The sequence below is a fragment of the Homo sapiens genome, chromosome 1, assembly GCF_000001405.40.
Source record: "Homo sapiens chromosome 1, GRCh38.p14 Primary Assembly".
Lineage (NCBI taxonomy): Eukaryota > Metazoa > Chordata > Mammalia > Primates > Hominidae > Homo > Homo sapiens.
Window position 1 is genome coordinate 84256433 of NC_000001.11, and position 27178 is coordinate 84283610.

The 27178-nt window shown below is 40.5% G+C and overlaps 1 non-coding gene across 1 annotated transcript, besides 2 other annotated features; it reads left to right on the forward strand.

Annotated features, from left to right (window-relative positions):
* Positions 2854-3355: an enhancer, noted in NCBI's record as "NANOG hESC enhancer chr1:84724969-84725470 (GRCh37/hg19 assembly coordinates)". NCBI's record gives its function as "activates a minimal SCP1, AML or CMV promoter by ChIP-STARR-seq in naive H9 embryonic stem cells {active_cell/tissue: H9 hESC(naive)}" and the evidence as "EXISTENCE:reporter gene assay evidence [ECO:0000049][PMID:30033119]".
* Positions 15135-15224: an enhancer, noted in NCBI's record as "active region_1248". NCBI's record gives its function as "activates an Ori minimal core promoter by ATAC-STARR-seq in GM12878 lymphoblastoid cells {active_cell/tissue: GM12878}" and the evidence as "EXISTENCE:reporter gene assay evidence [ECO:0000049][PMID:35858748]".
* Positions 20889-21025, forward strand: LOC124904808 (small nucleolar RNA SNORA2/SNORA34 family). Its single transcript, XR_007067394.1, has one exon. It is a non-coding gene; the product is annotated as a small nucleolar RNA SNORA2/SNORA34 family (small nucleolar RNA).
* Positions 21026-27178: the final 6153 nt, after the last annotated feature.

Genomic DNA, 27178 nt, shown 5'->3' on the forward strand with positions numbered 1-27178 from the left:
TTGAAGATGGAAGAATAGAAGAACCTTAAAAATGAAAAAGGGAGGAAGAAAAGCAGGTAGAGAAAGAGTTGTGAGTACAGAAGCGCAGTCAGAGCAGTGCGATGCAAGAAAGACTTGGCCAGCCATTACGGGTTTTGAAGATGGAAGAGGACCACGAACTGAGAATGTGGGCAGCCTCTAGAAGCTGGGAAAGGGAAGGAAACATTCTCCTCTAGAGGCTCCAGAAGGAATGCAGCCCAGCCAACACCTAGATTTTAGCCCAGTCAGCCCTGGATGGAACTTCTAACCTACCAAATTATAAGATAGCAACTTTGTGTGACTTCAAGCCACTAAGTTTGAGGTAGTTTAGCAACCCTAGAAAACTAATGCATGGCTGGTGGGAAAGCAGAAGCCAGGGGAAGAGATTGACAAAAAACCAGAAAGAGAGGAGAGAACCAGGAATGCAGTTAGAGAATCAAGACATGGCCCATTTTCAAGAATGAGATACCATCAAATGACACTGAGATGTCAAGTCCAGTTATGATGGCAAATGATGAACTGTATCAATGATCAAACCTAGAGGCACATCAGAATCACCCAAGGACATTGTCAGAAAGACCAATTCCCAGGTTCACTGCAGGCTACTGCTCTAGACTCTGATATACAGCCAGTGAGATGGGCTGGTGTTTTATTAGCTAAATGAGCACTTCACACTGTTGACTTAATAATGCCCACTTTTAAGGCTCCTTGTGGCCTTTTAACAGAAGAAAACCCATTTAAAATTTAATAGCACATTCTATTAAAGCCATTTATCTGAACTTTTTGTCCTTATGTAGATAATAAACTCCTTGCAGGTTGTAGGCGCTTGCTAAATATTTGTTGAATAGATAAATGAATGTAACCATTCAAGGACTCTATTGTTTTCTAAAGCTAGCAGAATGAGCAGAGATCTTTTCTCTCGTAAGCTCCTATAAATTAAACAATTCAAGCTATTTAATGCACGTTCACTTGTTACATGGATGGGGTTCTAATTTTCTACTTAAAGACTGCAATCCTCTGCTCCTTGCCAGCTCATCAGAACCAGCCAGGATTAATTCCCAGAGGAGCTCTTGGACCAGATAACAGAGCACCTCCTTTCACAGTCCCACTCCTGAAATGGTCTTTAATAATAATATGCTAGCCCATATAAAATGAAATCCATCTCTATCCTAATCCTGGGTGTTGCAGAGCATATTCCCAGTTCAACACCTAAAGATCTAACATTAGAGACTGGCCTCTGATACTTGCTGAGCTAAAAGAAGCAGTCTTGTGGTCAAGGGGAGAAGGCTGAGGCACAATAGCCATCCTCCTTGGAGGCTTGGCCTACTTATAAACGTCAAAACATGACATCATGTGGGCCCCGGACATGCTAGATGATGAAAGCCTGATCTACTTTGCCACATGGGAAAAGTTGCCAAGGCTAAGGAGAATCTGTGCTGTGCTGCCACAGTCCCACTGCAAGAGAAGAATTCCAAATAGTCTGTGAATAGAAGGCTAGAATTCCAAGCCACACTTTTAGCAAAAGGAAGCCCCATGAACTGAGATCCAGAGGGTAGAGTCTGGGAAAATGAGGGACATCCTGCCTTCTATGAGGAAGGGGGGCTCAACGACTGCGTGGATTGAATGAGTGGGTGAAAGGGAGAGCTATATGCGTTCATGTCAGTGATGTCAGAGAAAACTGTAACAACGGTGAAAGAGTCGAGACAGAAACCAGGTGGCAGTGGGTTAAGAATATGCTTCAGAAAGTCTCAGACAAGATGGGAAAGTAGGTCAGGGTGCTAGGAAGAAATGCCATAATGAAGGAAGATTTCTGTTTTGTTTGTTTAGTTGAATACTTGGTTTTTATTTTTAGGATTAGAGACTTGAGCAAATATATTATCTGAGAAAGGGAGAGTCTTAAAACATAGGAAATAAAATGAAAGCAACAAAGATGAAGGTAAGGTGAAGAGATGGGATCAACACTAGTCATAGATGGGGTTAGTCAATAACTAGTTATTGAGCACTTACTGTGTGCCAGACACAGTCTTAAGTCTGGGAATAAACAACACAGACAGACATAGTCCTTTCCTAGTGACATTTACAGTCCAGATAAAGTATATTTCCAGTCCTCTTTAGTTGCAAGTAAAATAAACTCTACCAGCTTAAGAGAAAAGGAGAACTGACCAACCCATGTAACTGAAAAAACTCAGGAAACACTGCCTCTGAAGACTCAGCAAAATGTCCTCAGGACTCTCTCTCTCCCTCTGTCTCCCTGTCCCTCTGTCTCTTCTCTACATCTTCTCTCTCCCCTTCCCGCTTCTTTCCTCTCTCTCGGCTTCACTTTCCTCTCTATTGACTTCATTCTCAGGCAGTCTGCATCCATGTGGTAGAAAAATGGTGCTCACTATGTCCATCATTATATGGTCCTTAAGGCCCACTGTTTCAGTAAAATAAGTAGCCTGCCTTTCAATGGCTCTGTCAAGACTGGGTGGACTCTGGTTGACCCAGGCTTATGTATGTATCTCTTCTGACCCAAAAACTCTGCCCAGGGGGAAACAGTGTCTTGATTGGCCCTGAATGGTCACATGTCCACCTCTGGGGCAGGGGAGGAGTGGGGTCTATGCCAACTCAACCACATGGGCTGAGAACAGAAGAGGGTGGTTCCAAATGGCAGTTTGGGCTTCTTGGCCAGAGAAGGGACACCAGAAAGGCAGAAAGAATATGAGTCTACTAAAGAAGGATTGCTCTTGAACAGAAAGAAGTGCCTCTTATCTCCTCAGACTAGAGGGGAGGAGGGAAGGGCTGGTGCCAAAGTAGACAACTTTGAAGATGCAGGCATGACAATGAGCCCTAGCACACTGGGTTTCTCCACAGAAGTGGAGGCCGGTGCCTGTGCAGAGAGGGTGGGAGTGGAGGTCAGTTGGGAGACTGGTGGGAAAGAGTTAAGGTTTAGAAGAGCAGCAGAGGGAATAGGAGAAGGAGCTGATAGTGACAAAAAGATTGTTACGAGTTAACTGACTTTGAAAACCATGAATTTGTCATAGCCATAATCTGCGCAATTGTACAATTTTCTCCACAGGCTCAGTCCTGAATAATGATAGCTATGGCCATTTGTGTAGAAAGGGCACAGTGGGGAGCCCAATCTTCCTACCCATTCTGGAGCAATTAGGCTATCAGGCAGATCCCCAGGAGTTGTATTTGTACAAGGGCTCTCAAGCCTCCCAAGAGAAAAGATGAAGAGGAACAGCAGGTGAGCTCTGTGACACAGGGTTGAGGTGACATGACCCACCACATCTCAGGAAACCCCCCACTGTAGACAGGAAACTCATTGAGTGGCCTCACATTGCCCAGTGCTCGGACTATTCTGGTCCCTGGCACATTAGAGATGACGACTGTGCAAGCTGCACCTTTGGCTGGCGCCTGGCAAATGCTTCATGGCCCTGTCCCTTGTGCTTTTCTCCCTGTTAGCTTTCAACTGTCTTTTGTGATGTTCCTACTGAATATAGGGCACATTAAATTTGACATCTCATTTAGCCCTCTCATCACATTGATAAGATGGGTCTTATTAGCCTAATTTTGCAGAAGAGGACATTGAAGCCCACGATGCTGATAAACTTGCCCAAGGTGACACAGCTAGCAAGGAGAGGGGCTGAGGTGTGTGTAAAGACAGGCCTTTGTCTGTCACTTCCCCTCCTGCTTCCCATAACTGGAACATCCTAGAACGGTGTTCTAGAATGAACAGCATTCCCTAAATTGGGATCCAAATATTCCTGGAGGTCCTCAAAAATATCTTCAAGGTTTGTGAGAATGTTTTCCTCCTTTAAAGAGCCTGTAGTTGAGTTCCAGAGACCTTATCCTGGAGAACAGTGCTTGCCTGTGGGGAGATGCCCACACTCAGCCCTGAGCAGGTGTGCACAGGAGCTTCAGGCATGAGTGCTGAGCTTGCTGTGGTGTGGATCACAAAGGACAGGGGCCACCCTGGCTAATGGCAGCATTACCTTTGCCAGGGGTGGGCTGGGGAGCCAGGAGAAGCATGCAGGCTGCCAAGTGGAGAATGTCAAGGACAATCATGGTTACGGCAGAAAAAAAACCATGATTGGCCCTAAAAAAGCAAGGTTGAGAGGTCTCAGAATTTTAGTATAACACTCAAGAGGCTCAGACCAAATACCATTACAAGCATTACCCACTCCTCTACTTGTCCCCAGGACTAGGACTACCTGGAAAAATGAGAATTAACCAGGGCTGAGAAAAATATTATGTTTAAAAACAATTTATACTTTTAAAAAATCTTATTTTCTCTTAGCAAAAGCCCCTCTGGAAGGTATTATTAAGCCTATTTTATGGGAGCAGAAACTGAGCTCAGAGCAGTAAGTTTACACAGCAATCTAGTAGCAGCCACAGAAATCAATCTTAGGACCTCCCAGTTCAGGACGTTATCACTGAGCCCACTCAAAGCACATTTCCCAGCAGAACTGGAGAGATCAGTGTGGAGGTCAGTTGCTGTCTTCTTGAGTTATCTAGTTAATATACTTCCATATCAACGTGCCATTTTCCCCTTCTGTAAACAGAGTGAGTCAACAGATGCCTTACAAAGGAATATTTGCTGGTGAAAAGTAGTAGAGTAGGGCAAAGGGCTCAATGTCTCTCATTCAGATGATGGGAAATTTTCTCTGACCGCCCCACCACCAGGTGAGGCCCTCCCTTAAATAAAGCCAAATATATCATTTGCTTTCATTGCCAAGGTAAACACAGGTCAGGCACATGGATTTTGGCTTTTGTAACAAAGGAGGGAAAATGGGACTTTGGAAAGCACTAAATGTGTTCAGCAGAAGCCCCACAATGCAGGTGCCCATCATTCAGTCCTTCCCACTGCTCTTTGTTTTCTAGACAACACTCCTCAGTGCCTGTCTGAGAAAGAGGTGGTGAACCAACCAGCAGCCCTTAGGCCAGAGTCACCTGGCTGATGTGATTTGTTTGATCTCCACAGTTGGTTTTTTGTTTTGTTTTTTTTTTCCCCAATATTTAACATTTGGAAATCTTAATGTCAATATTTAACATCTGGGAAAGATCATTAAAAAATCAGATTTTCTACTCAATTTAACAACAAAACAACAACCTGATTTAAAAAATGGGCAAAGGACATGAATAGACATTTCTCCAAAGAAGATATGCCGACAAGCCCATGAAAATATGCTCAACATCACTAATCATTAGGGAAATATTAATCAAAACCACAATGAGATACCACTTTACACCCATGAAGATGGCTACTATATAAAATAAACAAACCAAACAGAAAATAACAAGTATTGCTGAGGACCTGGAGAAACTAGAACCCTTGTACATTGCTGGTGAGAATGTAAAATGGTGCAGCCCTTGTGAAAAACAGCATGATATTTCCATCAAAAAATTAAAAATATAATTACATATGATACAATAATTTCACTTCTGAGTATGTACTCAAAATAATTGAAAGCAGGTATTTATACACCCAGGCTCATAGCAGCATTATTCGTAATAGCCAAAAGATGTAAGCAACACAAGTGTCCACTGACAGATAAATGGATAGACAAAATATGATACATGCATACAATGGATATTATCCAGCCTTAAAAAAGAAGAAAATTCTGATACATGTCACATCGTGGATGAACCTTGAAGACATTATACCAAATGAAATGAGCCAATTATAAGAGGCAAATCTTATGTGATTCCACTTCTATGAGGTGAAAATCATAGAGACAGAAAGTGGAATGGTGTTTGCTGTGGGGTAGGAGGGGAGCATGAAGAGTTGTTGTTTAGTGGTCTCGGAGTTTCAGTTTGGGAAGACGAAAAAGTTCTGGAGGTGGATGGTGGTGATGGTTGCACAATAATGTGAAATGTATACTTAAAAATGGTGAAAATGGTAAATTTTATGTGGCGTATATTTTATAATAATAAATAATTGACTTTCCCTTTTTTTTCTTGAAAAAGATAGAATAGGACTATGCAGTGACATTGGGTTTGACAATGTTGTTTCCATGACAACAAAGGAGGCATATGAACAAGGGCTCACATGAGCCCACATCTAAGCAGTAGATTACTATGTTATCCAAGAATAGATTACAATTCCACCCATAAGCAGTCAAATCCCAGAAGGATTAAAAGGACCTGTGCAGGCCAGAGACAGTGGCTCGTGCCTGTAATCCCAGCACTTTGGGAGGCCAAGGTAGGTGGATCACCTGAGCTCAGGAGTTCAACATGGAGAACACCATCTCTACTAAAATACAAAAATTAGCCAGGTATTGTGACACACGCCTGTAATCCCAGCTACTCCGGAGGCTGAGGCAGGAGAATCACTTGAACCTGGGAGGCAGAGGTTGCAGTGAGCTGAGATCGTGCCACTGCACTGCAGCCTGGGCGACAGAGTGAGACTCTGCCAAAAAAAGGAAAAAGAAAAGACCTGTGCAGTAAAGGGGAATACACATGACAAAGCTTGAGACTTCAATGTTATTTCTGGGGATGTGGGCTCCCCCACAAGGCTCAGAGGACTGGTAACTGGCCGGGTGCACACCTGGACCACACTGTATATCCTTGCATCCATGCGGTACATCATAACATCTGGATCACAGGTATAGCACACAGATATAGACAGGTAAGACCTCATATTTTCTGAGCAGGGAACACCCTCCTCCATGGGGGTGCTTTGTTTGGGCCTCGCTGCTCAGGTAGAACTCCACTTATCATACATGCTATGTCTCACTTGGGACCCAGGTCACCTGGAGAGCCAGAAATTCCTCCAACCAGAGCAAGAAACCCAGGAGCTGGCTGAGATCTCCCTGAAACACAGAGGTGGGCCTCACAGCAACAGGGCCAGGAGCCCACTGCAGCAGTGCTCGCAGGGGCATATTGCAGGAGCGGTCTTGGACTAAGCAGGACACGTCAGTTACCAAGAACGGTGTCTGAAAGAAGCATCAGATAAAAGAATAGGAGACAAACAGGCAAGGGATATGGAAGAAGGTAAAAGGATAAGGAAGAAGGAAGAAGTCTATTAGTTGGAATAGAGTTACTAAATGGGAAGAACTAATGAAATGATAAATTGGAGGGAGAAGATAAGAGTTAAACTAGAGGAAGTAGAGTCCAAATGAGGTGCTGGGGTTCCTATGGCTGCTTCTACGTGGACCTCAGAATCACAGAGCACCAGCCTGAGTATCCTGCCATCCGTGGGTGTGGGGTGCTTCCTCTCCCTGGGCCAGAGATGTCCCTAACAAGGGGGCGAATTCCAGACACATCACAGATTCCACTCTGAAATACACTTAGGAAATTCAGTTATCTGAAAACCTCTCAGACAATATCCATTTCACTAATATCATAAAATGACTTCTTCACAAGCAAAGTTAAAAATAGTAGAATTAAAAAGACAATTACAGAAAAGTTGGACAAGTTGTGCAAATAGAAAATTATTCCGAAGGTCTTGTCAAACCAATATTTGCTAAGGAGCTAATCCTAACGTTTAGTAGGTGCTGGCCATTCAGAACCTTGAAGGTTTCAGTGATTATGGCAGTGGAAGAATTTCAGACTGAAGGCTGAATTTGTCCACAAACTGACTTCCTTCTACCCCTGAGCTGATTTCTTATGGCTAACTATTAATTAATAGAATATGTGGTAATAATGTGCTGGCATGTCATATAAATCTTCATATATTCATCATTTGACTTTATTATTGTGGGCCTCCTGCGACGAAGATTCATTTCCAGTTAGGCAGTTTTTCCACAGTCTTTGCTATCCTTAGCCCATTTGCAGGAAGTTGTATAATATGTTTTTGTGATGTTACTACAAACAAGTATATTGACAGGCACCTAAGCATCTTATTAATTATAAGCCTAGACTACAGAAGTTTCATAATTTTATTTCTTTCATTTAATGTGCATTTCACTGAATGGAAAAGTTAAAGAAATAAAAAACATTATGTGTTAAAATTAGTTGAGAAAGAAAACTCAGTCGATGCATTTTTTAAGTTAACTTTAATGAAGTGCTAATGCCTTGAAACGTAAAGCCAGAACCAGAAATTCTGTTATGGCCCACAGGATACATGCAATAGGAAGAGTTGTGTCCCAAAAGTTGAATAACGCCTCATCCCAAACTTAGGACTCCCCCAAATACTGAGCTGCTTCATTTACCTAATCAACAAATACCTAAGGAAACATTAGATGGTTCCTGGATAAATCAACATAGAAAGATATCAGTGAAAGCCAGAAAATGAGTACCGATTGGGCCAGGCGCGGTGGCTCACGCCTGTAAAGCACTTTGGGAGACGGAGGTGGGTGGATCACCCGAGGTCAGGAGTTCGAGACCAGCCTGGCCAACATGGTGAAACCCTGCCTCTACTAAAAATACAAAAACAGCTGGGCATGGTGGTGCGTGCTTGTAATCCCAGCTACTCGGGAGGAGAATCACTTGAACCTGGATTCAAGTGAGGCGAGGTCGCGCCACTGCACTCCAGCCTGGGCGACAGAGTGAGACTCTGTCTAAAAAAAATAAAAGAAAGAAACAAAATGAGTACTGATTAGACAGCTAATATGTGCAGGGATTCCCAAGGCTCTGAGGATAGTGGGGTGGAGATGAGGAGGAAGGATGGTGGGCAGGAGGAGTGAGTCAGGGATGGAGCTGACTCCACAATGGACAGAGATGAAGCAAGGAGTTCTCTTGTGTCCAAAGTTATCTGGTGCAGCCAGTGGCTGAGCCTACTGTGCTCATCACTCACGTCCTCACTTCTCTAGTTTTAGGAAGCTCTGTTGCTTGGAAACGCACATAAAATGTGAAGTGGGAGTCTTGCAAACCAACCCACTATGCCCTGTTTTTATTACCTTTACAGCTTTTCAAGGTGAAAGTCTACATTTAGCCTCATCTTTTGCTTTCTCTGGGAAATTCTAGACAACTGCAGAGAAGCTGTAAAGCTGCTCTTGCCTCAGTGGGACCCTGTGCTTTCATACTCTGACCTACAGGAAGTCTGCAGTCCAGAGCCTGCATCTTCTTTAGGACAGTGAATAATCTGGGAGCCATTTATGAAGCGTGCATGACTATTATTCCCTTTATCGTCTCTTAAATTCCACAGTAGAACCTCGGATATGGGAACTTTTTTAAGAAATAGAGGTGTGTATATATATATATATATATATATATATATATATATATATATATAGTAATGACGGGTAGCTATTTCTAGACCAGTCTATCTGCTGTTGTGGGAACCTTCCCTAAAAAAAAAGACAGGATCTGTCGACATCTTTCATCTCTCCCCTCCCTTTTATCCCTTCTAGTGAAAAATGCTGCTGCGGTAAAACTCCCTTTGCATCAATCTTAAGCTTCAAAAGCCATCTTGCTAATGCAAGATGCTGGCATTTTTCTGTGACAAGAAAATGAACAATTTGCTAATTTTTTAAGTGAATGAAAGCATTTCCTCACATTTCTTCAGAAATAGCAAAAACAAGAAGAGAGTTTTAGGAAAAACACTGAAAACATTGCCAATATGTAGACATCTATATTTACCAGCAAGAGGGCATTTGACCCTTTTTTCACACCACTGCATATGTGGATTCATGACCTTGTTCCTGCTTTCTATTTGCTATCTCTCACACATCAGATCATAAACCATCACTCCACCCAAACCATGCTGGAAAGTTTCTCTAATTCTATAAAGCATACGATAGGTGGCTGCTCAATTAAAGGAATAGGATCTAGGCAGGCGTTTCCAAACTTTTGGCTTCCTTGGGCCACAGTGGAAGAAAAATTGTCTTGGGCCACACGTAAAATACACTAACACTAATGATAGCTGATGAGCTAAGAAAACAAATTGCAAAAAATATAACATTTTAAGAAAGTTTACAAATGTGTGCTGGGCCACATTCAAAGCTGTCCTGGGCTGCATGTGGCCCACAGGCTGCAGGTTGGACAAGCTTGGTCTAGAGTAGGAAGATCTAGACCTGAGAGCTGCATACTGATTCCCTGTATAGCCCTGAGCAATGTTATTGACATGAAGTAAGCCTGCTTTCTCATCTGTAAAATGGGGCTAGCAGTAGAACCTTCTTCAGTTTCTGCCCCTGTAAAAAAGAAATAACATTACACGACTCACTGGGTTAGTGGGAAGATGAAATGAAATGAAAGGGCATGCAATGTGTGAAGCACAGAGTGCGCTATGCAGCAGACACTTAATCAATGGTAGTTACAAGGATAATAAAAACATAAAGATGGTGTCTAGAAAATGCTGTTCAGCTTAGGCTCTGATATCACACTAACACAGCGAGAAGAGCTCTTCTCTGGCCCAAGTGCACAGAGTCTCTTGACAAATGCTGAGAAGCTCTTGCTGTAGTTAGTCTAAACTAAATTTATTTCACTCAAACTACTCATTAGTTATCTCTATTCCTGAATGCCCTATAGGCACAATGTATTCAAATTAGGCATCTTAACTTTTGTTCACCTCATGTGGACCTTGCCCTTCTTTCTATATTCATTTAATGTTACCAATCCCTCCTGCAAACAAGCAACTTCAGAGCGCCCTATGGCCTCCCTAACTCTCCCTCCTGAACCATGAACCATTCCACCTCCTGAATGTGCCCTAAAGCCATCATCCTCACCACTCCTTGACCACTACTGCCTTATATCAGGACTCTCTTCTTCTCTCTCCTGCACTATTGCAATAGCTTCTTAGTGGTTCTTTCTCTCTAATCTCTTTGCCTTCTGCACCACCTCCTTCCATACACTCTTACTGCAGTGATCATTCTAAAAAGCAACTTGGTCATGTTACTACCGTGACTAAGCCCCTGCAATCCCTCCCTATCAAGAAAATAATTATCTACAAACTCTTGGGCAAGTGTACAGGCTCCACATGCTCTAGCCCTTCCTTCCCATGCCAACCTCACCCCTACCAACGTCACCCCCACCAACCTCACCCCCACCAATCTTTCCTGGTTGCCTACATGTCAATAATGGGAAACTGTTTGTAATCCCAAGAATACTGTGGTAGCCAGACTCCAAGATGGCCCTAGTGATCCCTGCTCCTGGAGTTCACCCTTTTTGTGGTCCTCTCCCACCTCCATATTGTACCAGGGTTGGTCTGTATGACCAACAGCATGGCAGAAGTGAGGATATGTCAGTTCTGAGATTAGGTTATAAATAACTGTGGCTTCTGTCTTTGATTCTTTCTCTTCAATTACTCACTCTCTGGGAAGCCAAATGCCATGCTGTGTCCTATAAGCAACTTTATGGAGAGGCCCATGTGGTGAGGCACTGAAGCCTTCTGCAGCAGTCACATGAGTGAGCTTAGATACTGCTTCTTCAGCCCCTTCAGATGACTGCAGCCCCAGCCAACAACTTGGCTGCAATCTCATGATTGACCATAGGGCAGGATCAGATGGTTAAGATTGATGACCCTCAGAAATGATGAACTCTTAAACATTTATTGTTTTAAGCTGCTAAGTTTGGGCAGTAATCTGTGACCTAGCAATAGACAATGAATGCAAATCTCATCTTCATTTACACTTCATTTTTTTCGTGTATTCCTTTAAGAATGGTACCATTCACTGCACCATGCAAGCCTCAGCTGAGCAGCCACTTGCTCTACAAAACTACCTTGCTTCTCCTCAATATCCTCTCTGATCTGTCATTTTTGTTTACATAGCATCTAATATTTACCTCAACTGTAGCACTTGTCACATTGTCTTGTGATGGAGTAATGCCGCCCACCCACCCCCCTACCCCCACCAAAATATCCACATGCTAATCCCCAAACCTGTGAATGGTAAAGTTCCTTTAAGTGACAAAAGGGAATTTGTAGATGTGATTAAGTTAAGGATCTTGAATTTATTGCACAGCAGTGTGGCTATGGTTAATAGTCATAAGTTGTATATTTCAAAATTGCTAAAAGAATGGATTTTAAATGTTCTCATTACACAAAAAGAATAAGCACAGTCATCCACACACACAATGTTTCAGCCCACGATGGATGACTGTGGTCCCATAAGATTATAATACTGTATTTTTACTATACCTTTTCTATGTTTACATATGTTTAGACATATAAATACCTAGCTTGTGTTACAACTGCCTGCAATATTCAGTACAGTAACCAGCTGAACAGGTTTGTAGCCTAGGAGCAATAGGCCATACCATTTCTCAGAATGTATCCCACTTGTTAAGCAATGCATGATTATGTGTGAAATGATGGATATGTTAATTAGCTTGATACAATCATTCCACAATGTATACATATATCAAAACATCACATTGTACCTCAGAAATATAGATAATTATTTTCTGTCAATTAAAATATAGATCATGAAAATATATTAAATATAAATAAATATATTAAAAAATATATAGCTATATACATTTAAGTCAAAGATCTTGAGTGACCCAGGAGGAGTCAGAGTGAGAGTGGAAGGCCAGTGAGGATGGAAGCAGAGATTGAAGAGATGTCCTTTAATGATGGAGGAAGGGCTATGAGCCAAGAATACAGGCAGCCTCTAGAAGCTGAAAAGGACAAGAAAACAGATGCTCCCATAATGCTTCCGTAAGGGACAGACTCCTGACACCTTGATTTTTAGCAGAATAAGATCCATTTTGGACTTCTAACTTCCAGAACTGTAAGAGAATAAATATGCATTGTTTTAAGCCACTAAGCTTGTGGTAATTTGTCACAGCAGCAATAGGAAACTAATGCACCCTGTAATTGTTTGCTTACCCTCCTTCCCCTCACATACACACTAGACTGTTCGCTCCTGAGAGACTGTCACATCTCTCTGTTCATTCCCAGCACCTAAAGCAATGCCTGGCATATATCAACATGCCAAAGTGCTCAATAAAAATGTGTCTTTTTGTCAAATAAATGAACTATTTAAATCCTTCAGGCTATAGTTTAAATATTTTATTTATTATACAATCAAATGTAATGGCTTCCTTCAAGCAAATTTTTTTCCCTGGTGAAATAATTAGTTTCCTGTGATCCAGACAGACCCAGAATTCCTGCCTAGGGAAAAAAAATATCAAAGGCATATCCTTGGAGCAAGAAAGAATGTTGGAGGTCATCCCCTGGGTGTGACTGAGTAGATTATTTCTAGAGTAAGTCTATTTCCTTGAGTGCAAAGTTTAAAAGAGACATAAAAATGTGCACAGAGTCCAGTAAAGAAATTCAAATATAGGTAAAGGGCTGGGTTCTAGACGGTGGCATCTGATCTTACGGAGGGTACAACCACTCTGCCCCTAAAAAAGCTGTGAGACCCTGGGAAAGCCACTTATTCTCAGTTCCTTCACCTGTATAATGAAGTGGTTGATTAAGATTCATTCAGTAATTCATTCCACAAAGTTATTGAACATCTACTACCTACCAGGTACAGTTCTAGATTTCGGGAGCACAACTTTAAACAAAACTCCCTGCCTGGTGGATTCTACAGGGGAAGTTAGACAATAAATAAAATAAATAAGAAAGATATACAGTATGTTACATGGTGACAATGTTATGGAGAACAGTAAAACAGGGAAAGGGGTAGTGGATATGAGAGTGGAGGTGGGTGAGGAATTCAGTTTTCAGTAGGCTCTCAGGAAGGTATCACTGAGAAGGTAAAGTTTGAATAAAGTCTAGGGAAGATGAAGAAACATCCAGATAACAGGGGAAGGTTTTCTAGGAGTGGAAATAGCAAGTGTGAAGGCCCTGAGGTAGGAGCATGTCTCGTGTGCTTGGATGCTCAAGGAATGGCAAGGAGGCCAATGTGGCAGCAACAGAAGTGAGCAGGAGATAAGATCAGGAGCGGTTTTAGGGAGGGATCAGTTACTATAGACCAGCTCTGTCCAATGGAAATATAATTCAAGCCACAAACATGAACCAGATATGTAACTTTTAATTTTCTAGTAGCCACAGTAAAAAAGTAAAAAGAAACAAGTAAAATTGATTTTAATAATATATTTTATTTATCCAATGTACCAAAAATATTATAATTTCCATGTATAATTACTATGAAAATTATTAATGAGATATTTTACATTCTTACTTATTTTACATTATTTCAAACTAAGTTTTCAAAGTCCGGTGTGTATTTTGCATCTCAATTCCAACTGGCCCCATCTCATGTGCTCTATAGCCACATGTGGCCTGTTGTGACTGCCTTGGACAGCATTACTGTAGAGCTTGATGGGCTTTTGTAAGGCCTTTCAAAGTTTTTTTGCCTTGGAGGAAACACAAAGCAATCAGAGGGTTTTGAGCAGAGTAGCAACATGATCTAACTTGTTTTCTTTTTTTTGAGATGGAGTCTCGCTCTGTCGCCCAGGCTGGAGTGCAGTGGCGCGATCTCGGCTCACTGCAAGCTCCGCCTCCCGGGTTCACGCCATTCTCCTGCCTCAGCCTCCTGAGTAGCTGGGACTACTCAGGAGTCCCAGCCACACGCCCGGCTAATTTTTTTGTATTTTTAGTAGAGACGGGGTTTCACCGTGTTAGCCAGGATGGTCTCGATCTCCTGACCTCGTGATCCGCCCGCCTCGGCCTCCCAAAGTGCTGGGATTACAGGCGTGAGCCACCGCGCCCGGCCCTAACTTGTATTTTAAAAGGACCGTGTTGGTTGCTGTGTTGAGATAGACTACAGGGACAAGGGAAGAAGCAGGGAGACAAGATGGGAGGCTCCAGTAGTCATGCAGGCAAGAAGTGGTAGTGGTCCCACCTTCATTGCAACAGTGGAGGTGGGACAAGTGGTGGAACTCAGAACACATTTCAAAGGTGGAGCCAACAGGGTCTCCTGACTGACTGAATAGATCATGAGAGGAAGTGGGGTGTTGAGAATGAAGCCAGTGGGAAAAAACATTATGAAGCGTTTCTCAGGTTTTAATCACTTGGTCACAACATTTAAATTTTCCAAGCCCATATATACTTCTCTGCAAAATGCAGAGGCAAGAACGTGCCAGGTCTGTTCCAGGAAGGACAAGGAAGCCAGCATAGTTGCAGAGGAGCAAGCAAGGAGCAAAGTGGTAGGAGACAGGGTCAGAAAGGTGATGGGAAGGTGTTTATAAAGGGATTATGTTGCTCTTTCTACAAATTCAGAGTATACAGGGGATAATGAGTAAAGTCACCCACAAACGAAGCCTGTGCCACTGGGCTGTGGTTAAGAACTCAGCCTCAGACTCTTCCGGGTCATGTAAAAGATAAACAAACCCAGATGTTAGTTAAAACAGTGAAAACTGATTTTGTTCAGTAGCTACCGACAACAAGGGAAAGGGCTGAGCTCCATTCAGATTTGCACAGAGGTGACTGGGTGTTTTTAAAGGAGAATGAGAGAGTAGGAGAGGCGTGAGCGGAGGCTCAGTGGAATCAGGGAAGTGAAAAATTACAAAAGGTTGGTCAATGCAAATACAGTTAAGCCAACTGTGAATGCTTGCTGGCAGTTATTGAAGTTAGGCTGCTATCCTCCCACAGAGACTGAGACAGAGGCCCTAACCTTCCTGAGGATTATATTTCAAAGGAATGGCTTTCAAGTCCTTGAGAAAGACACTCCTGAGTTGCAGGAGATGCATACACATCTGGAAGGGACAGAGGAAAGATTCACAATTGTCAGCCCTTTTTAGTAAATGCTGCAAGAAAGGGAGGTTAGGGACTGAACTCTTCCGGAGAGGAACTCAAAAAGTGTTTGAGTCTTCCCAGAGACAAGGCTCAGGCTGCTAAAAGCCATGCTAAAGTATGGCTAAGTCTCTCAAGAGAGGGTGAATAACGTGTTTGTGCCCAGAGTTTTTGCAGTTCTCAGCCAAAATGATCCATTTCTATGGGGGTTTTTTCTTCTTTTTATTTCAAAAATTCAGTTTAACTAATATATATTGAAAACATAGACAATTTGTAAAACAGAGTCTTTTGATTTGCTCCAAAATGAGAAAGTTGTACAGAGGTAAATCTGCTGTGAAAGTAATAAAGCTTAAGCTTTAGAATCCTCATTTTTACAGACCTCTTCTGAGGGCCTTTGTACTTAATTTTATATTCATACATTGATTTTTTTTTCCTTAAAGAGGCTATGTCCAAGTTAGATAAGCCTTAAGACCAACACAACCCCCTACTTAGGAAAAGCTTTCCACCTTAGACCTAGCCTAGGAATAAAAACAACTGACGGGTAAAAGTAGGGGAGAGGCTGGGACACACCTGTCTGTTAAGCATTCCTGGCCAGGGCCTGTCATTTACATAGCAGGAAAAGCAGCCAACACCTACCCAGCTGCTGCTCTTTAGAAAGGTGAAGTTAAACAAAGAGGACTATCCAGAAGATTTATATGTTTGCCCTTCCCAACCTGGTTAGTTATAAAATCAGGTGTGCTGCTTTTTTTAAAAAAGTAGATTTTATTTTTTTAGAGCAGTTTTAGGTTTGCAACAAAACTGAGCAGAAGGTAGAGATTTCTCATATATTCCCAGTGCTGACACAGGCATTTTCAACATCCCCCAATTTTAACATCTTCACCACAGTGGTACATTTGTTACAATTGACGAAACTATATTGACACAGTATTATCACCCAAAGACTATAGTTTGCATTAGGGTTCACTTTGTGTTGTACATTCTCTGAGTCTGAACAAATTCATAATGACCTGTATCCACCATTATAGTATCATATAGAATAGTTTTACTGCTCTAAAAATCCTCTGTGCTCCACCTATTCATCTCCCTTTTCCTCTTAAGCCCTGGCAACCACTGATCATTTTACTGTCTCAGTAGTTCTACCTTTTTCGGGATCTCAGATACTTGGAACCCTACAGTATGTAGCCTTTTCAGACTGGCTTCTTTCGCTTAATAATATACATGTAAGTTTCCTCCATGTCTTTTCATGATGTGATAGCTCATTTCTTTTTAGTGCTGAATAATATTCCCTTGTCTGGATGTACCACAGTTTATTTATCCATTCACCTACCGAAGGACATCTCAGTTGCTTCCAAGTGTTAGCAATTTTGAATAAAGCTGCCATAAACATCCATATGCGTGTTTATGTGTAGACATAATACCAAAAGAGCATGATTGCTGGATTATATAGTAAGAGAATGTTTATTTTGTAAGAAACTACAAAACTATCTTCCAAAGTGGCTGTATAATTTGCATTCCCACCAGCAATGAATGAGAGTTGCTGTTGCTCCACATCCTTACCACCAATTGGTGTTGTCAGTGTTCCAGATTTGGACCAGTCTAATATGTATGTAGTGGTACTTCATTGTTGCTTTAATTTGCATTGCCCTGATGACATATGATATGGAACATCTCTTCATATGCTTATTTGCCATGTGCATATCTTCTTTAGTAAGGTGTCTGTTAAGATCTTTGGCCCATTTTTTTAATTGGGTTGTTTGTTTTCTTATTGCTGAGTTTTAAGAGGTTTTCTTTTGTTTTTTGTTTTTTGTTTTTTTTGTATTTTGGAAAACAGTCCATTATCAGAAGTGTCTTTTGCAAATATTTTCTCCCAGTCTTTGGATTATCTTCTCATTATCTTGACATTGTCTTTTGTAAAGCAGAAGTTTTTTAATTTTAGTGAAGTCTGGTTTATCAATTATTTCTTTCATGGATTATGTCTTTGGTGTTGTATCTAAAGAGTCATCACTATACCCATACTCATCTAGATTTTCTCCTGTCTCATTACATTCTAGGAGTGTTACAGTTTTACATTTTACATTTAGGTCTGCGATCCATTTTGAGTTAATTTCTGTGAAGAAAGTAAGGGTCGTGTCTTACTCATTTTTTGTGTGTATGTGATGTCCAGTTGTTCTGGGATCATTTGTTGAAGACTCTTTGTTCCATTGTATTGCCTTTGCTCCTTTGACATACACTATCTGCAGGGTTTATCTCTGAGCTCTCTATTCTGTTCCACTGATCTATTTGTCTATTCTTTTACCAATACCACACTGTCTAGATGACTATAGCTTTATATTAACTATTGAAGTCAGATAGTGTCAGTCCTCCAACTTTATTCTTCTTCAATGTTGTGTTGGCACTTCTGGGTCTTTTGTCTCTGCAGATGAACTTTAGAATCAACCTGTTAATCTCCACAAAATGGCTCGCTGGGATTTTAATTTTGATTACACTGAATCTATAGATCAAGTTGGCAACAGCTGACATCTTGACAACATTGAATCTTCCCATCCACGAACACGTAGTATTTTTCCATTTGTTTAGTTCCTCTTTGATATCTTTCATTAAAGTTTTTCAGTGTTTCTCACATGGATCTTGTATTTATTTTGGTAGATTTATACATATTTTATTTTGGGGAAATACTTTTTTTTATTTCAAATTTCATTTGTTCATTGCTGGTTGTCATGGATTGAATATATTATGAAGAGAAATTTAATCCCCATTGCAACAGTGCTGAGAGGTGGGATCTATAAGAGGTGATTAGGACATGAAGGGCTCTGTTCTAATGAATGGATTCATGCTTCTTGTGGGTTAGGGTTCCTAATAAAACAATGAATTTGGCTCCCCTCCCCTCCCTTTCCCTCCGCCTCCCTCCTTCCCTCCCACCTCCTCTTCCTTCCCTCCCCCCTGCCCTCTCCTTCCTTTTCCTTCTATATACATGCTCTCTTGCCCTTCTGCCTTCAACCGTGGGATGACACAACATGAAGGACCTCACCAGATGTAAGCCCCTCAACCTTGGACTTCTCAGCCTCCAGAACTGTAAGAAATAAATTTCTGTTCTTTATAAATTACCTAGTCTTGGGTATTCTGTTGTAGAAGCATAAAACAGACTAAGACACTGGTATATTGGAGAACAATTGACTTTTGTATATTAACCTAGTATTCCTCAACCTTCCTATAATTACTTATTAGCTCCAGGAGACTTTTCTGCCAATTTTTTTCAGGTTTTCTTCATAGACAATCATGTCATCTGCAAACAAAGACAGTTTTGTTATTTCCCTCCCAATCTGTAGCTTTTATTTCTTTTTTCTTTCTTGCTGTATTATCTAGAATTTTTCATCTGCTCTTCAGAAGCAGTGGAGAGAGGAAACATTTTGCCTTGCTCCTGGTTTTATGGGAAAGCTTCAAGTTTCTCATCATTAAGTATGATGTTAACTGTAGGGTGTTTGGGTTTTTTTTGTTTTTGTTTTTGTTTTTTTCAGATATTCTTTATCAAGTTGAGGAAATTTCCCTCTATTCCTAGTTTACTTAGAATTGGGTATTTCCCTTCTTCCAGGTCAGTTAGGCGTTGGTAAAACCCCTGAAGTTTAGGCTCTGGCTAAGCAGTTCCTCCTAAGAGCAGACCACGTTCAGAAGAACAGAGTGTTCTGGTGTATTTTTAAATAGTTCTTTTCCCCTTCCCCTGGCAGAAGCATGACAGGATTTTTCTCCAATATTCACTGTGGGGGTGTGGTAGAGCTTCTAAAGGTAAAACACAAAAATGTGGGGGTCTCCTAATGACTGAGTCCCCCTGGAGTTTTTGACTTGCCCACACTCAGCCTCCAGCAATTCATCAATTACAGTTAAGATTTTCCTACATGGGCACCGGTTGCTGCAGAGGTTACTACTCATGGTTTCCTGCTCACAGAGTTGTGATTCTCTGTATTCCCCTGTTGGTCTCTCCAATTTGGGGGACAGCAGTTTGCCCTATAATCTAACCTCTCTTAGAGATCTAAAAAGAGTTGTTGCAGAGTCTTACCCTCTCACCCAGGCTGGAGTGCAGTGGCACTATCATGGCTCACTGTAACTTCCAACTCCTGGGCTCAAGTGATCCTTCCACTTCAGCCTCCGAAGTTGCTGTGACTACAGGTGTGCGCCACCATACCAGGCTAATTTTTGTATTTTTTTGTAGAGATGGGGTTTCACCATGTTTCCCAGGCTTGTCTTGAACTCCTGGGCTCAAGTGATTGGAACCGCCTCAACCTCCCCAAGTGCTGGGATTACAGATGAGAGTCGCTGTGCCTGGTTTATTCAGCTTTTTACTTGTTGTTAGGGCTGAGTGACAACTTCCAAGCTTCTTACATGCCAGACTGGAACTGAAAGTTGGTGTGTTACTTTTTTAAAGTATAAATTCTGGGCCTTACCCCAGACCTACTGATTCAGTCTCAAGGGGTAGAGCCCAGGATCTTTATCTTAAGAAATCCTCACCAGTGGGCACCCATGTATTATGGCTTCTGAAGCATAATTTTATAAGAATGAAACATAACTCTGGAAACTCCTGTGAGAAGAGTAGCCTTGGCCCCAGAAACAAGGTAGAAGGGTTCCTAAGCTGTTCATTATTAAGAGAGACACCCAATCAGGGATTTATAATTTGGTAGCTCTTCATCTACTCTCAAAGGTGCACCCAATAAAATGAAGGCCCAGCACCAATATCCCAAGACCAGGCACAGGCAAGAGGAGATGGACACCAAGGTGCTGCCCTAGGTTCAAGGATGTTGTTGTTTTCCTCACCCAGGAGGAGGACCTGCATCAGAGCAGTGGGAAACTTTTCTTTCTAGACTTCCAGTTTCCACACCTGGCACGATTCTGGCTGGACCACAAGAAAGAGCTAAGGAGAGAGAGCCCAAGAATACCTGCTTATGTGACAGCTGCAGTTTAGAGGAGTGAGGTAATTAGCTTAGGATCATCCAACCAGTAGGTAGGTAGATGTGAGATGATGCAAAAGAAGATATCAGCAGGAGTGACCCTCTGTCCCTATTGCATGAAATAAGTATGCTTTGCTGTAGAAAAGAAGGAAACCAAACAAATCATTAGTACCAATCTGGAAATGGAAAGAAAGGGCATCCCCATGACACCACTGGCTCCCTGGACTGATACCTTCCAAGGTCAACCCCACATCTCTTCCTCCTACTCTTGTGAACCAATAAATTATCTTTTTTGCTTAAAGTAGTATATGAGTTGGGTTGCTATACCTTGAAGCCAGAATGTTCTAGTAAAAGTATTCCGTATGTATTAAAAAGAATGGTTGGTCCTGATTCAAGGCCAGCAGTTTGCTGAAGCTGTTGGTTTCAAGCAGGAGACTAAATAATTGTCTTTTCATGGTCTGTTGGCCATCTTATAACTTTGGAAATGTAATGTCCAATTCATTAGAAATAAACATCTGGAAAAAAAAATGGACAAATATACTGATATAGAAAATGATCACAATAATTATTAAATGAAAAAGGTCAAATTACGCAATAGTGTTTTTGGTAGTATTCTATTTGTGTATACAGTGTGTTTTGTGTGATTTTTATGTTGCCTTATTTTATTTCATCTTATTTTGTTTTTAGTAAATGACTAGAGAACAACTGGAAGAATACTTAACACACTGCTGGCAGGAGATGGGATTGGGAAATCCCCCAATTCTGAACCATTTACTGATGATGAGCATGTATTACTTTCATAATAAAATACTAAATTAAAAAAGGAAAGAGAAGAAAGTTAGTCACTGAATGTACCAGATACTTGCCTGCCCCCAACTTCCTGGTTTCCTTGTTAGGGAGAAAAGATAGTTAGAGATAGCAAACAGAACAGGTTCCATGGTTAAGCCAACCAAAACTATATTGACTGAGTCAGTAATTCAGTGAGATATGGACAGACTTAAGTATGTACAACTGAGAGAGTTTGCATCACAGGGAATTAAATGCCCAAAGTCTAACCAGTCAATAAAAATACAAAAAGGGTTAAAAAAGCAATCATTCATGTTGAATCCTCACAGTCTAGGGGTGAGGAGTGCAGAATCCTACTCAAGGTACTGAATGGAGACTTGGCATCAACTGTCTAGAATTTAGAGGGAGGCTTAGCAGGTGCTCAGAATGTGCAGCATCACCACTTCCAGTTATGTGGGCTGCAGAAAAGCCCCATTAAACAGTCACTTAAAAGGGAGATATTAAAGGAGAGGAGTGCCTGGAGAGGAAGCAAAGAGGGGTTTAGCAAGTCAATGTAAGTTAAGAAGGCTAATCCAGGCCGGGCGCAGTGGTTCACGCCTGTAATCCCAGCACTTTGGGAGACCAAGGCCGGTGGATCACCTGAGGTCTGGAGTTTGAGACCAGCCTGGCCAACATGGTGAAACCCCACCTGTACTAAAAATACAAAAAATTAGCCGGGTGTGGTGGCAGGCGCTTGTAATCTCAGCTACCTGGGAGGCTGAGGCAGGAGAATCGTTTGAACCTAGGGAGCAGTGAGCCAAAATCACACCATTGCATTCCAGCCTGGGCAACAAGAGTGAAACTCCATCTCAAAGAAAAAAAAAAGAAGGCTAATCCAGAGGCAGAAGCCCACCCCAAATGGCAATGGAATGGATTCCAAGGGGATAGTTTTGATGAATTATGTTACATTATTTAAAGATTCAGAGTAAAGGATGCCTCAGGACTTTGTAAATCATTAGAGAGGCAACAAGAAAGTGTGTATCTTTCCACTGATTCACATGACACCAACTTCCAGGAATTAATAAAAGAAAGTTTAAATATCTTGGTAATAACTCACAAATTTCACACACACAAAAAAAGGCATGTAGCAAACAATCAGAGATGAGTTGATTTTCTTAGAACTAATGTACCAGAGGGAATATGAGGAGAAAGGGACTGCGTCAGAGGCAGAATCAGGTACTATTTTCAGAAAACAGAAGCCTTGGACACAAACCAAAGGGCAGGCAATGTGTATGCAATCGGCACTGAGACCAAGTCCCAAATCAATCTCTCTAGTAACAGCTGCACACACAGATAGCAAATCATTATCTTACCGTCTAAGGATCTAAGATAAATATTGCGCGACAACATAGCTCTTCCGCAAAGAAAACTTGTACCAACAGGTGCCTTGCCTCTGAGTTCAGACTCTCTTTCTATCCTCTCTGTTGATCTGCAGACTGTAGTGACAAAGTCGTCCCCAACCCAGGAAGCCTACTTGCCATACTAATCACATCTGAACATGCTCAACTGTTTGGAAACTCTCCTATCCTAGCAGCTAGAGGTAGAGGCAGAACTTGAGCACAAGTCTTCATCTGACTTCAAATTTGGCTTTTTTTTTTGTCTTCTAAACTAGGATCTATTTCAACCCAGACCATGCATCCATCCACATCCATCTAACCAGGAAACTCTCAGGCACTGTGCTTGGTGGTGAAGAGACAGAGTCAATAAGACATTATAGAAACAGATGCGAGTGTAATGCTGCCATTATAATTACAGGGCCATGGACTTATTGCTTCACTTTCTAAGCCTCAGTTTCCTCAGCTTAAAATTGTAGCTGAAGATAGGTACTTTTGACAGTTGTATTGGGGATTAGAAATAATGTAAGTAAATTCCCTGGAATGCTCAATAAGTAACACATTACTATTATGAAAGACTACTAGAGGAGGAGACCTAACTGAAGGTTTTGGTGTAGTGCAATTAGTGCCACGACATAAGAAAGCATGGGATGTTACAGAAGAAGGGAAGGTTTCTAAATCAATATTTAGCGAAGGTGTAAAATGAAGTTCCAGAATTTGAAGGATGAGTAGGATTTGGCTAAACGGGGAGGGGAGGAAGAGCATTTCTGGCCAAGAGAAAGCAACGTGTACTAAGGCATGGAGGTGTGAAGTGCCATTACGTGTGGTTTTGGAAGATCCATACAAATGGAAATAAAGAATGGGTTTAAAGGTTTGGATGGATGTGACACTAGAGGGATGGTGAGGGGCCAGAACATGAAAAGCCTTGTGTGGTAAGCAAATGCCAGTGTCACAGAAGCTTCCTATGTATGCCCCACAATCTGTATAGCCTGCCTCCTCAGGCAAACCACCCTGCTAAATTATGTGTTTATCCTTCCTTTGCTTTAATTTACATAGTTGCCTAAGAGTTTTTGTTTGCTTGTTTTAACGTGGATAAAAAATAAGTTGTATAGAATAATTTATCTGCAACCATTCATATTAGCATGTGTTTGTTCTCTATTAATCTGTAATTTAGCAAATTGTATCCATTTGATTTTCTAAAGTTAGACCGTCCTGTGTTCCGAGAGTAAACTCAATTTGTTTAAATAATGTATTTAATCATAATATGTTATCTTCTGTGCATTGCTGGATTACATTTTTATACTTTTTTGCAGAGTTTTGCTTCTACATTCATGAGTGAAGTTGGTTTGTCATTTTTTACCTCTTGTATCATCCTTCTATAGTGTGCTATATATAATACATATTTTTTCCATGGAATGAGGCCATTATATTTTTTATTGGGGTGTTTTTCCTTGTTTCAAGTTTTTGAAAGCGTGCCTTACATTGGAATTATGTTTTTTAGGTGTTTATTAATAGTCACCTATAAAGTCATCTGGGCCAGGTCTTTGTGTAAGATTTTAAAGTTGGTGAACCAATTTCTTTAAGGACTTTACAATGACTCTGAATTTCTATTTCTTCCCGAGTTTGTTTTGGTAACTTACTTTTTTTTCTAATAATTTGACCATTTTGTCTAAATCTTCAAATGTGATACCAAGTTGTTTGTACTAGTTTACCATTTTTTTACTTCTCTGAATTTTTTTAATTCCTAACATTTTTGTTGTCATCTTTGTCTTCTTCTTCCTCCTCTTCCTCCTTCCTCTTTCTCCTTTCTTTTAGTTCAACCAGGCCAGATCAATGAATTTTACTCACTTCTTCAAAAACCTTAATTTTGGCATTGTTGATCTTTTTTATTTTATACTTTTTTCTATTACATTAATTTCTAGGCTTATCCTTATTATTTTCTTTCTTCTGCTCTCTTTAAATTAATTCTATTTTGTAAAATAATTTCTCATGAATGCTTAGCTCAGCAATATTCAGCCTTTCTCAGTTTCTAGTATAAGCATTTATGACTTAAAATTCCCTCCAAGCCTCTTTTAACCATTTGTTTTAGTGAAGTTGGTAAAGTGGATTTTATTATTGTTTGATCCTAAACATTTTCTATTTTGCATTATGATTTACTCCTTGATTGATGAGTTATTCAAAAGTTTCTGAATTTTCTAAATTTTTAAAACATAACCTTTTAGCTAAAGATATCTTTATTAATTGAATTGTGGTCAAAAATATAATGTGTTTAAGATGAGTTTCTTAAAAGTGGTTGAGACTTGATTTATAGCCTAATTCATGATAAATTATTGTAGTGTTTCTTGCATAACCAAAACTAATTTGTATACCTTAATTTGGAGTGTAGAAATATATATGTTCAGTAGATTAGCTTTCTGTATTGCTTAAATTAATCATATCCTTAATGCTTTAGTTCCATTTTACCTATCAATTATTGAGATATATATATTTAATGACTCACAATAGTGGAGAATTCAACAGTATCTCCTTGTAAGTATGTCAAATTCCCCTTTATCTTATTGAAGTTAGGTTATCAAGTTTTAAACTTTAGAATTTTTTCCACCTGGGGAGTTAAACCTCTTATCATTATTAAATAATCTCTTTTGTCTATCATAAGGTTTTTTTGCCATAAAATCTATTTTACATTTTATATATATAGACATTCCAACTCTTTTTTCTTAATATTTGCTTAAAATATATTTTTCTATTCTTTTACTTTCAACTATTCTTTCTCAATGTCTTAGGTATGTCTCTTATAGAAAGCACAAACATAGATTTTGTTTCTTTTATCCAATAGATTTTGTTTTTTTTAATCCAATCTCACAGCTTCCCTTTCAACTGGGTTTATTTCATTGATAAATTTACTCCTGTCATCAGTTTTTTAACTTTCTATTTTTTCTGGCTTTCCTGTTTCTTTTTTCTCCTTCTTGCCTCTTTTCAATTGATTAAATTAATTTTTTCTTTTTTTTTTCGAAATGGAGTTTCTCTCTTGTCGTCCAGGCTAGGGTGCAATGGCGTGATCTTGACTCATTGCAACCTCCGCCCCCTGGATTCAAACAATTCTCCTGTTTCAGCCTCCCGAGTAACTGGGACTAGAGGCACGCCCGTCACCATAATACCCGGCTAACTTTTTTTGTATTTTTAATAGAGATGCGGCTTCACAATGTTGGCCAGGCTGGTCTTGAACTCTTGACCTCAGGTGATCCGCCCACCTTGGCCTCTCAAAGTGCTGGGACTACGGGTGTGAGACACCGCGCCGCCCGGCAGATTAAATTTCTTAAGTCCCAACTTTCCCCCTCTAGTTTTGAAGGTATAGGCTTTACTTCTCTTCTGTTAAGCAGTTCCTTTGAAATCAGAACATGGATACTTAAACCTAACAAACTCTACATTTACAATCTTTATAATCTTCCCAAATATGCAAAGAGCTAAGAATGTTTTAATGCCTATCAGCACTTCCACTTTACCAGCTATTATTTCTGAACCCCACAAGTTACGCTTCATTATTTATTTATATGGTTTTCACCAGCAGTATGTTTACCCAACAGTTTGTCTTTTACTTTACTCAGTGTGTTTTTTGTATCTCAGACTTTCCTTTTCAGATCATTTTCCTTCTGCTTGAAGACATGCTAAGAAGTTCCATTATTAAGAGTTTTTTAATGTTAAACTTTTTAAGTGTTTATCTAAACAGCCTCTATTTCATCCCCATGTTGAAAAATAGTTGTGGCAGAGAAAGTCAGTATTACTGAATATCCATGTGATTATATTTCCCACTCTCCCTTGCAGTTAGTTTGGGACCTTGTGACTTATTCTGGCCAATGAACTATGACTAGAAGTGATAGGTTTCACTACTAGACAAAGACAGCTGGGACCTGTGCTCCTGCGCATCCCCTTTCCCTTCTGCAGTGATCTCACATGTCCCTACAGCCCTGGATGTTGGAGTTACAGAGGGCAGCACTCTCTCAGCCTGAGTCCCTAGTAATGGTGTGAGCAGAGCTCCATACAACCCATGCTGGATGTGTAACTTGAAATGTTTCAGAGTTAATTGTTGATTGATGTGAGAGGCCACAGAGGTTTCAGAGTTAATTTTTTACCAAAGCATAATGTAACATATTGTGACCAATAATTTTAATGGGTAAATAATTCTATTTGAGAGTTACTCTCTCAATACATTAAAAATATTTTCCCACAATCTTCTGTCTTCTTATGTTTTTGTTGCTGAGAAGTCAACTATCTAATTTCCATTCCTTTATTGGTAATTTTATTTTCTCTTCAGTTAATTTTAATGTCATCTTTGTCTTTGGCATTCTGAAGTTTTCTAACAATGTGTTTGGGGTGTGTGTGTGCATGTGTGTGTGTGTGTGTGTGTGTGTGTCTCTGTGTGTGTGTCTCAATTTATCTGTCTTACTAGGAATCTTTTGGGGTTTTGGAATTTGAGGTTATCTTTCATCAATTCTAAGAATGTCTCATTCATT